The following is a 14,577-nucleotide window of genomic DNA, read 5'->3' as shown; positions in this document are numbered from 1 at the left end:
GGCCTCGGGACTGCAGCCCGCCATGCCTGAGCCTTCCCCGGCCTCCGTGGGTTCCTGTGCAGCCCGAGCCTCCCCGACGACTGCCGCCCCCTGCTCCACGGCGCCCAGTCCCATTGACCGCCCAAGGGCTGAGGATGCAGGCTCAGGGCACAGGACTGGCAGGCAGCTCCGCCTGCAGCCCCAGTGTGGGATCCACTGGGTGAAGCCAACTGGGCTCCTGAGTCTGGTGGGGACGTGGAGAGTCTTTATGTCTAGCTCAGGGTTTGTGAGTGCACCAATCGACACTCTGTATCTAGCTGCTCTGGTGGGGCCTTGGAGAACCTTTATGTCTAGCTCAGGGATTGTAAATACACCAATCGGCACTCTGTATCTAGCTCAAGGTTTGTAAACACACCAATCAGCACCCTGTGTTTAGCTCAAGGTTTGTGAGTGCACCAATCGACACTCTTATCTAGCTGCTCTGGTGGGGCCTTGGAGAACCTTTGTGTTGATACTCTGTATCTAACTAATCTGATGGGGATGTGGAGAACCTTTGTATCTAGCTCAGGGATTGTAAATGCACCAATCAGCACCCTGTCAAAACAGACCCCCTCGGCTCTACCAATCAGCAGGATGTGGGTGGGGCCAGATAAGAGAATAAAAGCAGGCTGCCTCAGCCAGCAGTGGCAACCCGCTCTGGTCCTCTTCCACACTGTGGAGGCTTTGTTTTTTTTGTTTGCAATAAATCTTGCTACTGCTCACTCTTTGGGTCCACAGTGCTTTTATGAGCTATAACACTTACCGCGAAGATCTGCAGCTTCACTCCTGAAGCTAGTGAGACCACGAGCCCACCGGGAGGAACGAACAACTCCAGATGCGCTGCCTTAAGAGCTGTAACACTCACTGCGAAGGTTTGCAGCTTCACTCCTGAGCCAGCGAGACCACGAACCCACCAGAAGGAAGAAACTCTGAACACATCCGAACATCATAAGGAACAAACTCCAGATGCGCCACCTTAAGAGCTGTAACACTCACCACGAGGGTCCGCGGCTTCATTCTTGAAGTCAGTGAGACCAAGAACCCACCAACTCTGGACACAATAGGGTTTCACTATGTTGCCCAGGCTGGTCTTGAACTTGTGGGTTCAAGTGATCCTTTCACCTTGGCCTCCCAAAGTGCTGGGACTGCAGATGTAAGCCATGGCACCAAGCCTTAAGTTTACATTTATTAAATGACAAGATGTTTAGCCCTTTAGTGGATCCTTCCTTTTTTTTTTTTTTTTTTTTTTTGCAAGAAGTCTTTTGAGCATTATTATTTTGAAGGTCAAGTAAGGTGTATTAGTGAGGTTCTTCCACAGAGACAGAATCAACAGGGAAGTGGGCTGGGTGCGGTGGCTCACACCTATAATCCCAGCACTTTGGGAGGCCGAGGCGGGTGGATCACTTGAGGTCAGGAGTTCGAGACCAGCCTGGCCAACATGGTAAAATCCTGTCTCTACTAAAAATACAAAAAATTAGCCAGGTAGGGTAGCAGTCGCCTGTAATCCCACCTACTCGGGAAGCGGAGGCAGGAGAATCACTTTAACCTGGGAGGTGGAGGTTGCCATGAGCCGAGACCGTGCCCCTGAATTCCCACCTGGGTAACAAGGGCAAAACTCCGTCTCAAAAAAAAAAAAAAAATCTGGGTGCGGTGGCTCACGCCTATAATCCCAACACTTTGGGATGCCGAGGTGGGCGAAATCACCTGAGGTCGGGAGTTCGAGACCAGCCTGACCAACATGGAGAAACCCTGTCTCTACTAAAAATACAAAATTAGCCAGGCATGGTGGCACATGCCTGTAATCCCAGCTACTCGGGAGACTGAGGCAGGAGAATCGCTTGAACCCAGGAGGTAGATGTTGCAGTGAGCTTAGATTGTGTCATTGCACTCCAGCCAGGGCAATAAGAGCGAAACTCCATATCAAAAAAACAAAACAAAACAAAAACCACACAATGGGGAATTGGTTCTTATGATCACAGAGGCGAAGTCTCATGATAAACCGCCTGCAAGCTGGAGAAATGGAGAAGCTGGGAGCCTGGCTCAGTGCAGGTCTGGCAGCCTCAGAACCAGGGAAGCTGATGGTACAGGCCCCAGTCTGAGGCTAAAGGCCTGAGAGCCCCCGGGAGGCCACTGGTGCAACAGAGTCCACATCTAGAGTCTGAAAACCAGAGACCCTGTCTGAGGACAGCAGGAGAAAAGGTGTCCTGGCCGGGCATGGTGGCTCATTTCTGTAATCCCAGCACTTTGGGAGGCCGAGGCGGGGGGATCACAAGGTCAAGAGATCAAGACCAGCCTGGCCAACATGGCAAAACCCTGTCTCTACTAAAAATACAAAAATTAGCTGGGCGTGGTGGTGCATGCCTGTAGTCCCAGCTACTCAGGAGGCTGAGGCAGGAGAATCGCTTGAACCCGGGAGGCGGAGGTTTCAGTGAGCCGAGATCATGCCAGTGCACTCCAGCCTGGCAACAGAGTGAGACTCCATCTCAAAAAAAAAAAAAAAAGAAAAAGAAAAGGTGTCCTGCTCCAGAAGGGAGGTAGAGCAGAGAGGGCCAGTGCCCCCACTTTCACCTGTTCATCCCAACTGGGCCCCCAACTAGTTAGACCTTCATTAAGAATGGGCCTCCCTCCCGCAGGCCACTGACTCACCCACTAATCTTCCTTGGAAACATCCTCACAGACACTCAGAAATAATGCTCCACCAACTAGCGGCCATCCCTCCATCCAGTCAAGTTGACACCTGAAACTAACCATCGTCCAAGTCTCTTGGGACTTCTTCTTTGCCTTGATTTCAAGCAACAAGCAACAGTTCAAATAACTACAACTAACAAAGTGAGCACATTCAGGAAAAGCTAGTCAAAAGAGAAGGGCTGGGCGCAATGGCTCATACCTGTAATCCCAGCACTTTGGAAGGCGGAGGCAGGTGGATCACTTGAGGCCAAGACCAGCCTGGCAAATGTGGCAAAACCTTGTCTCTATTAAAAATACAAAAATTAGCCGGGCATGGTGGCATGCGTCTGTAATCCCAGCTACTCAGGAGGTTGAGGTGGGAGGATTGCTTGAACCCTAGGTAGAGGTTGCGGTGAGCCGAGATGGCGCCACTGCACTCCAGCCTGGGCAATAGAGCGAGGCTCTGTCTCAAACAAACAAACAAACAAACAAACAAAAAGCAGAGAAGTAGGCCTAGCACAGTGGCTCATGCCTGTAATCCCAGTGCTTTGGGAGACCGAGGAGGGTGGATCACTTGAGGTCAGGAGTTCGAGACCAGCCTAACCAACATGGTGAAACTCTGTCTCTACTAAAAATACAAAAATCAGCCGGTCACAGTTGTGCATGCCTGTAATCCCAGCTACTCGGGAGGCTGAGGCAGGAGAATTGCTTGAACCTTGGAGGCAGAGGTTGCAGAGACCCAAGATCACGCCACTGCACTCCAGCCTGGGCATCAGAGAGAGACTGTCTCAAAAACAAACAAATGAAAACAAGAGAAGAGAAGGCGCTGTCACTCCCTCATAAGTGGGGAAGGGCCATCTCAGTGTGTCTGAGGCCTCTGTCATCAGGTTTCTCCCTCTTCCCGCGTGGCCTGGAAGAAGCTTCAGTCCCAGTGCTGGGAGCTTGCAACACTGTGACAGTGCCCCTACTTTGGCCTGGAATCACGTCAGCTCAATGTGGCCACCCCGGTGGGAGACCCCGCTGATAAGAAGCTCTTTGGCTGTTTTTGATGTGCTTAATTAATAATGTGGGTGAGAAGACAATGCAATGATTTCTTAATGTTTGTGGCATATAGGGCAGGGCTCTTATTCATACCCTGCTTGGGCTGTGCAAGTTGTACTGACTTACTGGAAAGATATAGGCTGGGTGCGGTGGCTCACGTCTGTAATCCCAGCACAATATAGGCTAGGTGCAGTGGCTCACGCCTGTAATCCCAGCACTTTAGGAAGCCGAGGCAGGCGGATCACCTGAGGTCAGGAGGAGTTCGAGACCAGCCTGACCAACACGAAGAAACCCCATCTCTACTAAAAATAGAAAAAAATTAGCCGGGTGTGGTGGCAGGTGCCTGTAATCCCAGCTACTCAGGAGGCTGAGGCAGGAGAATCACTTGAACCCGGGAGGCGGAGGCTGCGGTAAGCCAAGATTGAGCCATTGCACTCCAGCCTGGGCAACAAGAGCGAAACTCTGTCTAAAAAAAAAAAAAAAAAAAAGATATTTGACAGTATGTAGCTAAGGCATTAAAAGTGGGCTTAGCCCTTGATTCAGGAAGTCTGCCTCTGGGCCTGTCTCTGAGGAAATAATCAGAAGTTTGCAAAAAGCAATATACACAAAGATATTCATAGCAGTGTTAATAGTCTGATTGGAATCAAACACTTTACATAAACGCTTTTTTTTTTTTTTTTTTTTGAGACAGAGTCTTGCCCTGTCACCCAGGCTGGAGTGCAGTGAGTGCACAATCTCAGCTTACCACAACCTCCACCTCCCGGGTTCAAGCCATTCTCCTGCCTCAGCCTCCCGAGTAGCTGGGATTACAGGCGCCTGCCACCATGCCTAGCTAATATTTTGTATTTTTAGTAGAGACAGGGTTTCATCGTGTTGGCCAAGCTGGTCTGGAACTCCTGACCTCAGGTGATCTGCCTGCCTCGGCCTCCCAAAGTGCTGGGATTACAGGTGTGAGCCACCACATCCAGCCCATAAAGGCTTTATTTTTTATTTTATTTTATTTTATTTTTGATATGGCGTCTCCCTCTGTTGTCCAGGCTGGAGTGCGGTGGCATGATCTCAGCTCACTACAAGCTCTGCCTCCCGGGTTCATGCCATTCTCCTGGCTCAGCCTCCAGAGTAGCTGGGATTACAGGCGCCCGCCACCGTGCCCTGCTAATTTTTTTTTTTTTTTTTTTGTATTTTTAGTAGAGACGAGGTTTCACCGTGTTAGCCAGGATGGTCTCGATCTCCTGACCTCATGGGCCGCCTGCCTTGGCCTTCCAAAGTGCTGGGATTGCAGGCGTGAGCCACCGCACCTGGCCCATAAAGGCTTTTAAAATGATGTTTGTAGATAACTTTGAACAGCATGAAAAACACTTTAATTAAATGTAAAAGAACCTTCTTGGTTCTTAGCATGACAGAGGCGAAGTCCCACGATAAGGATCTGCAAGCTGGAGAGATGGAGAAGCTAGGAGCCTGGCAACCCATCTTATGGGATGAAGTTATATACATACCATGATTATAACCATTTTAACTGGAAATGTGGGCTAGAAAATGTCTGAAAAGATTTTTGGGACAATTCTGTGTGGGTCTCAAGGTTCTTTCTTTTCTTTTCTTTTTTTTTTTATTTCCATAGGTTTTTGGGGAATAGGTTACATGAGTTAGTTACACGAGTAAGTTCTTTAGTGGTGATTTGTGAGATTTGGTGCCCCCATCACCTGAGCAGTATATACTGAACCCAATTTGTAGTCTTTCTCTTACCCCCTTTCCACCCTTTCCCCCCGTATCCCCAAAGTCCATTGTATTCTTCTTGAACCTTTGCATCTTCATAGCTTAGCTCCCACTTATGAGTGAGAACATATGATGTTTGGTTTTCTATTCCTGAGTTACTTCACTTAGAATAATAGTCTCCAGTTCCATCCAGCTTGTTGCGTATGCCACTAATTCATTCCTTTTTATGGCTAAGTAGTATTCTATCATATATATATATACCACAGTTTTTTTATCCACTCATTGACTGATGGACATTTGGGCTGGTTCCACATTTTTGCAATTGTGAATTGTGCTGCTGTAAACATATGTGCCAGTATCTTTTTCGAATAATGACTTCTTTTCCTGTGGGTAGATACCCAGTAGTGGGATTGCTGGATCAAATGGTAGTTCTGCTTTTAGTTCTTTAAGTAAGCTCCACACTGTTTTCCATAGTGGTTGTACTAGTTTACATTCCCACCAGCAGTGTAGAAGTGTTCCCTTTTCACCACATTCATGCCAACATCTCTAATTTTTTTATTTTTTGATAATGGCCATTCTTGCAGGAAGAAGGTGGTACTGCATTGTGTTGTATTTTGTTTTGTTTTTTTGAGACAGAGTTTTGCTCTCATTGCCCAGGCTGGAGTGCAATGGTGCATTCTCAGCTTACTGCAACCTCCACCTCCCAGGTTCAAGTGGTTCTCCTCCGTCAGCCTCCCAAGTACCTGGGACTACAGGTGTGCACCACCACACCTAGCTAATTATTTATATTTTTAGTAGAGATGAGTTTTCACCATGTTGACCAGGCTGGTCTCAAACTCCTGACCTCAGTTGATCAGCCAGCCTCGGCCTCCCAAAGTGCTGTGATTACAGGCATGAGCCACCGCACCCGACCTGGTTCTATATGAATTTTAGGATTGTTTTTTCTAGTTCTGTGAAGAACGGTGATGGTATTTTGATGGGAATTGCATTGAATTTGTAGATTGCTTTTGCCAGTCTGGTCATTTTCACAATATTGATTCTACCCATCCATAAGCATGGGATATGTTTCCATTTGTTTGTGTTGTCTATGATTTCTTTCAGCAGTGTTTTGTAGTTTTCCTTGTAGAAGTCTTTCACATCCTTTGTTAGGTATATTCCTAAGTTGGTTTTTTTTTTATTTTTTTGTTTTTTTTTTTGTTTTTTGCAGCTATTGTAAAAGGGGTTGAGTTCTTGATTTCCCATGGGGATGATGTGGAAGTGATCCAGGAGCATGCCACACACTCAGTAGGTTTGCATCATAGCTGAGGAATCCCGAGCTAAGGAAGCCCTAAACTTTTATAATGGGCTGCAAGCAAACCTGCTGTGTGAGTCCGTTTCACACATTGCTATAAAGAACTACCTGAGGCTGGGCACGGTGGCTCATACCTGTAATCCCAGCACTTTGGGAGGCCAAGGTGGGTGGATCATGAGGTCAGGAGTTCAAGATCAGCCTGTCCAAGATGGTGAAACTCCATCTCTACTAAAAATACAAAAAAATTAGCTGGGCGTGGTTTCGGATGCCTGTAATCCCAGCTACTAGGGAGGCTGAGGCAGAGAATTGCTTGAACCTGGGAGGCGGAGGTTGCAGTGAGCTGAGATTGCGCCACTGCACTCCAGCCTGGGTGACAGAGTGAAACTCTGGCTCAAAAAAAAAAAAAAAAAAAAAAAAAAAAAAAAGAACTACCTGAGACTGGGTAATTTATAAAGAAAGGAGGTTTAATTGACTCACAGTTTCACAGGCTGTATAGGAAGCATGGCTGGGGAGGCCTCAGGAAACTTACCACCATATGTTTCAGGTGGGGGTGACCCCTCCAACACCAGTAGCTGACCAGTCAGAACAGTCCAGCCTACTGCTTATAGCGATTTTTTTTTTTTTTTTAGTAAAGACAGGATTTCACCATGTTGGCCAGGCTGGTCTTGAACTCCTGACCTCAAGTGATCTGCCTGCCTTGGCCTCCCAAAGTGTTGGGATTATAAGTGTCAACCGCTGCATCCAGCCTCTCTTCCATCTTTAAGGATCTTTGTGATTACATTGGCTTCACCCAAATAATCTAGAACAAATGAGCAATCTCCTATTTGAACTTCAGTTTAGTAGCAACCCTAATTTAATCTGCAGCCTTAATTCTGTTTACCACATAACCTAATATGTTCACAGGTTCCTGAGGTTAGGGCATGGGGAGGAACCCCACAGGTATCTCGGCAACCACATGCACTCCTGAAGCAGCAGGGGCTGCAGCCTCCATGAGTTTGGGTCCAGGTGAATTTACACTCTTCTTTTTTCACTCCTGAAATAAATCTGCTTTAGTCAATAGCTTCAATATAAATTCAGGAGAGAACACTCAAAAAGGGATTGGACCCCTATCTTCAGCCTCCTTAAACAAAACAATTATCAGCCAAGAATTTTGTATCCAGCAAAACTAAGTTTCATAAATGAAGGAAAGATAGTGTTTTTCAGACAACTTATAGGCAGAAGAACACTGGGCTCTGACTTAGCTATGAATTTTCCATGGAAATACAGTTGTCCCTCAGGATTGGTTCCAGGACCCCCGGCAGAAACCAAAATCTACAATGCTCAAATCCCTGATATAACATGATTATATTTGCATATAACCTCCTGTATATGTTAAATCATCTCTAGGTTACTCATAACGCTTAACACAATGTAAATGCTATGTAAATAGTTGTTCAACTATGGCTGGGCAAGGTGGCTCATGCCTGTAATCCCAACACTTTGGGAGTCTGAAACTAGTGGATTGCTTGAGCCCAGGAGTTCAAGACAGCCTGGGCAACAGGGCAAAACCCCATCTCTACAAATAAATACAAAAATTAGCCAGGCATGGTAGCACATGGCTGTAAGTCTCAGCTACTTAAGAGGCTGAGGTGGAGGATTGATTGAGCCCAGGGGTGGAGGCTACAGTGAGCGGTGATCGTGTCACTGCCCTCCAGCCTGGGCAACAGAAGGAGACCCCGCCTCAAAAAGAAAAAAAAAAAAAGTTGTTATACTGTATTGTTTGGGGAATAATAACAAGATTTAGAAGTCAGGACTGGGTGTGGTGGCTCATGCTTGTAATCCCAGCACTTGGGGAGGCTGAGACAGGTTTATCACTTGAGGTCAGGAATTCGACACCAGCCTGGCCAACATGGTGAAATCCCATCTCTACTAAAAATACAAAAAATTAGCTGGGCGTGGTGGTGCAAGATTTTGCGCCCAGCTACTCGGGAGGCTGAAGCAGGAGAACTGCTTGAACCTAAGAGGCGGAGGTTGCAGTGAGCCAAGATGGTGCCATTGCACTCCAGCCTGGATGACAGAGTGAGACTTCATCTCAAAAAATAAAAAATAAAAAACAAAGTCAGTACGTGTTCAGTACAGATGCAGTCATCCATTTTCACTCTGAATATTTGCAGTCCACACTTGGATGAATCCATGGATGAGGAACCTACAGATGTGGAGGGATGAACCATACACTTTTTCAGTGTTCTCTGCCTTCTAGCTTGTAGGGTTTCTGCTGAGAAATCTGCTGTGAATCTGATAGGTTTTCCCTTATAGGTTACCTGGTTTGTTTGTTTGTTTGTTTGTTTGTTTGAGACGGAGTCTCACTCTGTCACCCAGGCTGGAGTGCAATGGTGCCATCTCGGCTCACTGCAAGCTCCGCCTCCCAGGTTCACACCATTCTCCTGCCTCAGCCTCCCAAGTAGCTGGGACTACAGGCGCCCGCCACCACGCCCGGCTAATTTTTTTGTATTTTTAGTAGAGACGGGGTTTCACCAGCCAGGATGGTCTCGATCTCCTGACCTCGTGATCTGCCCACCTCGGCCTCCCAAGGCCGTGCTGGGATTACAGGCGTGAGCCACCGCGCCCGGCCAGGTTACCTGGTGCTTTTGCCTCACAGCTCTTAAGATTCTTCCCATCATCCTGACTTTAGATAACCTGACAACAATGTGCCTAAGTGATGATGTTTTTTCGATGAATCTCCCAGGTGTTCTTTGAGCATCTTGTATTTGTTTTTGTTGTTGCTGTTTGAGAAGAAGTCTCGCTCTGTCACCCAGGCTAGAGTGCAGTGGTGCAATCTCGGCTCTCTGCAGCCTCCCAGGTTCAAGCGATTCTCCTGTCTCAGCCTCCTGAGTAGCTGGGATTATAGGTGCCTGCCACCATGCCTGGCTGATTTTTGTATTTTTGATAGAGACAGGGTTTCACCATGTTGGCCGGGCTGGTCTCAAACTCCTGACTTCAGGTGATCCACCTGCCTCAGCCTCCCAAAGTGTTGAGATTACAGGCATGAGCCACTTTGCCTGGCCTGAAATCCACCTTGAGCACGTCGCTTGCTACCTCGGAGCGCAATCCCCCTTAGGTGTCAGTGGAGTTCTGGGCCCACAGCAAGGCGGGGAGGTGCGGAGGAACTGGGTACAAACCAGGCCAGGCTCCCTAGACAATAGCCCCAGCTTGGCCACTGAGTCTGTTCCTCTCCCAGGCTGGGGTCAGCCCATCTGACTTGGGCGAAGGTCTACACATCTCTGCTTCCTCGCTGTGATCTCCCAGATAACCGCCCGTGAAGAAGTCTGTGCCCTCGGCCCTAAGCTGTGAACCTGCTGCCTTCCATGGCAAAAGGGACTGTGGAGGTGTGAGTCAGTTCATGACCTTGACTGGGGAGGTGATCCTGGGTTACTTAGGTGGCCCAGCGGAATGGCATGAACCCCAGAAGAGGAGGACAAAGGCAGAAGAGCCCGTCTGAGAGAAGTGACGGCAGAGGAGGAGGCAGGGAGGTGCCGTGTGCTCATCAGCCATCATCGGCTTTGCAAGCTGGTAGGGGGCTGCCCGTAGACGCTGAGACTGGTCCCCACTGACCCCAGCAAGGTGACAACACCTCAGTCCCATACTGCAAGGATCTGCATTCTGCAGACAATGCAAATGAGCACAGAAAAGGGATTCTCCACTGGCCCCCATTACGGAACTGCAGGGTTATACATTGTGCCGTTGTCAGCCTCTAACTTTGTAGAAGTTTGTGATGGCAGCAAAGAAAACAAATGGACTCTGCGAACTCCCTTTCCCTGGGGAGGAGGGGCTGGTCCTCATCCGGTCCTGGGGTGGCCCCGGGCCCCGCTCTCCTGAATGGATGTGCAAGGCCATTTCTCTGTGGTCTCTGTCTGGAACGTGGGCGCAGACGGGAGCTTGGGAAGTCCAAGCTTACTTGGCTTTGTGCCCAAACCAAGCTCTGGATATGAGTGCACTTGTTTAAAAAAAAAAAAAAAAAAAAAGGCAAGCACTGACCCACTTTTTCCTGACTGCTCTGGCTCAGACACTTCCCTCTAAAAGGACATTTATTTCAAGAACACGCTGTTCCCAGGGCTGACATCCCCCACCTCCACTGGAAGCAGAAGCACTAACAAGAGACTGCAAGATCTGGCGTCCGGTATCTGATAATGGAGCAAATGTTCCACCGAAAGCTGGGCCTGATGGCTGCATCCGCCTGGCGCTGGAGGGGCTGGGAGTTTGGCCTGAGCAAACTCAGTTGCTTAAAACAACACAAATTTATTTATTTTTTTAATTTTATCTTTTTAAGTCCCAGGCTACATACGCAGGCTGTGCAGGTTTGTTGCATAGGTAAATGTGTGTCACGGTGGTTTGCTGCACCTATCAACCCATCATCTAGGTTTAAGCACAGCATGCCTTAGCTGTTTTTTCTAATGTTCTGCCCCCACCCCCCACCAGGACCCCAGTGTGTGTGGTTCTCCTCCCTGAGCCCACGTGTTCTCGTTGTTCAGCTCCCACTTATAAGTGAGAACATGCAGTGTTTAGTTTTCTGTTCCTGTGTTAGTTTGCTGAGGATAATGGCTTCTAGCTCCATCCATGTCCCTGAAAAGACATGATCTTGTTCCTTTTTCTTTTTTTTGAGACAGTTTCCCTCTCGTTGCCCAGGCTGGAGTGCAATGGCCCGATCTCAGCTCACTGCCTCCCAGGTTCAAGCGATTCTCCTGCCTCAGTCTCCTGTGTAGCTGGGATAACAGGCATGCACCACCACACCCAGCTAATTTTGTATTTTTAGTAGAGGTGGAGTTTCACCGTGTTAATCGGGCTGGTCCCGAACTCCTGATCTCAGGTGATCCACCCACCTCTGCCTCCTGAAGTGCTGGGATTATAGGCATGAGCCACCACGCTTGGCCTTATTCCTTTTTATGGCTGCATATTATTCCACAGTGTATGATATGGTTTGACTCTGTGTCCCCACCCAAACCTCATCTAGAATTGTACTCCCATAATTCCCACATGTTGTAGGAGGAAACTGGTGGGAGAGAATTTGAATCATGGGTGCGGTTCCCCCATATTGTTCTTATGATAGTTAATAAGTCTCATGAGATCTGATGGTTTTATCAGGGGTTTCCGCTTTTGCATCTTCCTCATCTTCTCTTGCCACCACTATGTAAGAAGTGCCTTTCACCTCCTGCCATGATTCTGAGGCCTCCCCAGCCATGTGGAACTGTAACTCCAATTAAACCTCTTTTTCTTCCCAGTCTCGGGTATGTCTTTATTAGCAGCGTGAAAACCCACTAGTACAGTAAATTGGTACCAGCAGAGTGGGGCGTTGCTGAAAAGATACCTGAAAATGTAGAAGCAACTTTGGAACTGGGTGACAGGCAGAGGTTAGAACAGTCTGGAGGGCAAAGAAGAAGACAGGAAAATGTGGGAAAAGTTTGGAACTTCCTAGAGACTTGTTGAATGGCTTTGCCCAAAATGCTGATAGCAATGTGGACAATAAGGTCCAGGCTGAGGTGATCTAAGATGGAGATGAGAAACTTGGGAACTAGAGCAAAGGTGACTCTTGTTATGTTTTAGCCAAGAGACTGGCAGCATTTTGCCCCTGCCCTAGGGATTTGTGGAACTTTGAACTTGAGAGGGATGATTTAGGGTGTCTGGTGGAGGAAATTTCTAAGCAGCAAAGCATTCGAGAGCTGACTTGGGTGTTGTTAAAAGCATTCAGGTTTTTTTTTTGTTTTTTTTTAGCGGAGTCTTGCTCTGTTGCCCAGGCTGGAGTGCAGTGGTGCGACCTTGGCTCACTGCAACCTCTGCCTCCTGGGTTCAAGCAATTCTCCTCCCTCAGCCTCCAGAGTAGCTGGGACTACAGACGTGCGACACCACACCCGGCTAATTTTTGTATTTTTAGTAGAGATGTGGTTTCACCATGTCAGCCAGGCTGGTCTGGAACTCCTGACCTCAGGCAATCCACCCACCTCAGCCTCCCAAAGTGCTGAGATTACAGGTGTGGGCCACCATGCCCAGCCTAAAAGCATTCAGTTTGAAAAGGGAAACAGAGTACTAAAGTTTGAAAAATTTGCAGCCTGACAATGCAATAGAAAAGAAAATCCCATTTTCTGAGGAGAAATTCAAGCCAGCTATAGTAATTTGCATAAGTAACAAGGAGCCAAATGTTAATGCCCAAGACAATGGGGAAAATGTCTCCAGGGCATGTCAGAGGACTTCACTGCAGCTCCTCCATCACAGGCCCAGAGGCCTAGGAGGAAAAAGTGGTTTCATGGGCTGGGCTCAGGGTCCCCGAGTTGTGTGCAGCCTAGGGATTTGGTGCCCTTCATCCCAGCCACTCTGGCTGTGGCTGAAAGGGGCCAACATAGAGCTTGGGCCGTGGCTTCCGAGGGTGCAAGCCCCAATCCTTAACAGCTTCCATGTGGTGTTGAGCCTGCAGGTGTCCAGAAGTCAAGAATTGAGGTTTGGGAACCTCCACCTAGATTTCAGAAGATGTATGGAAATGCCTGGATGCCCAGGCAGAAGTTTGCTGCAGGGTGGGACTCTCATGGAGAGCCTCTGCTAGGGTAGTGCAGAAGGGAAACGTGGGGTCAGAGCCCCCACACAGAGTTCCTACTGGGGCACTACCTAGTGGAGCTGTGAGAAGAGGGCGCCTGTCGTCCAGACCCCAGAATGGTAGATCCGCTGACAGCTTGCACCATGTGCCTGGAAAAGGCACAGACACTGAACGCCAGCCAGGGAAAGCAGCCAGGAGGGAGGCTGTACCCTGCAAAGCCACAAGGGCAGAGCTGCCCAAGACCATGGGAACCCACCTCTTGCGTCAGCATGACCTGGATGTGAGATCTGGAGTCAAAGGAGATCATTTTGGAGTTTTAAGATTTGACTGCCCTGCTGGATTTCGGACTTCCATGGGCCCTGTAACCCCTTTGCTTTGACCAATTTCTCCCATTTGGAATAGCTGTATTTTCCCAATAACCTGTGCCCCCACTGTATCTAGGAAGTAACTAGCTCGCTTTTGATTTTACAGGTTCATAGGCAGAAGGGACTTGCCTTGTCTCAGATGAGACTTTGGACTGTGGACTTTTGAGTTAATGCTGTGGACTTTTGAGTTAATGCTGAAATGAGTTAAGACTTTGGGGGACTGTTGGGAAGGCATGTTTGGTTTTGAAATGTGAGGACATGAGATTTGGAGGGGCCAGAGGTGTAATGATATGGTTTGACTCTGTCCCCACCCAAATCTCATCTCGAATTGTACTCCCATAATTCCAACATGTTGTGGGAGGAAGCCAGTGGGAGATAATTTGAATCATGGGGGCAGTTCCCCCATACTGTTCTTGTGGTAGTGAGTAAGTCTTATGAGATCTGATGGTTTTATCAGGGGTTTCTGCTTTTGTATCTTCCTCATTTTTCCCCTGCCACCGCCATGTAAGAAGTCCTTTCACCTCCTGCCATGATTCTGAGGCCTCCTCAGTCATGTGGAACTGTAAGTCCAAATAAACCTCTTTTTCTTCCCAGTCTCAGGCATGTCTTTATCAGCAGCATGAAAATGGACTAATACAGTGTATATGGACCACATTTTCTTCATCCAGTCTATCACTGATGGGCATTTGGGTCGGTTCCATGTCTTTGCTATTGTGAATAGTGCTGCAATGAACACATGCATGCAAGTATCTTTATAATAGAATTTATATTCCTTTGGGTATATACCCAGTAATGGGATTGCTGGGTCAAATGGTATTTCTGGTTCTAAATCTTTGAGGAATTGCAATGCTGTCTTCCACAATTGTTGAACTAGTTTACATTCTCAACAACAATGTAAAAGCGTTCCTGTTTCTCTGCAACCT

This window comes from Homo sapiens, chromosome 8 (genome assembly GCF_000001405.40).
Source record: "Homo sapiens chromosome 8, GRCh38.p14 Primary Assembly".
In the NCBI taxonomy this organism is placed as follows: Eukaryota; Metazoa; Chordata; class Mammalia; order Primates; family Hominidae; genus Homo; species Homo sapiens.
The sequence above is the reverse complement of the archived record's forward strand: the minus strand, read 5'-3'. Positions refer to the sequence as shown.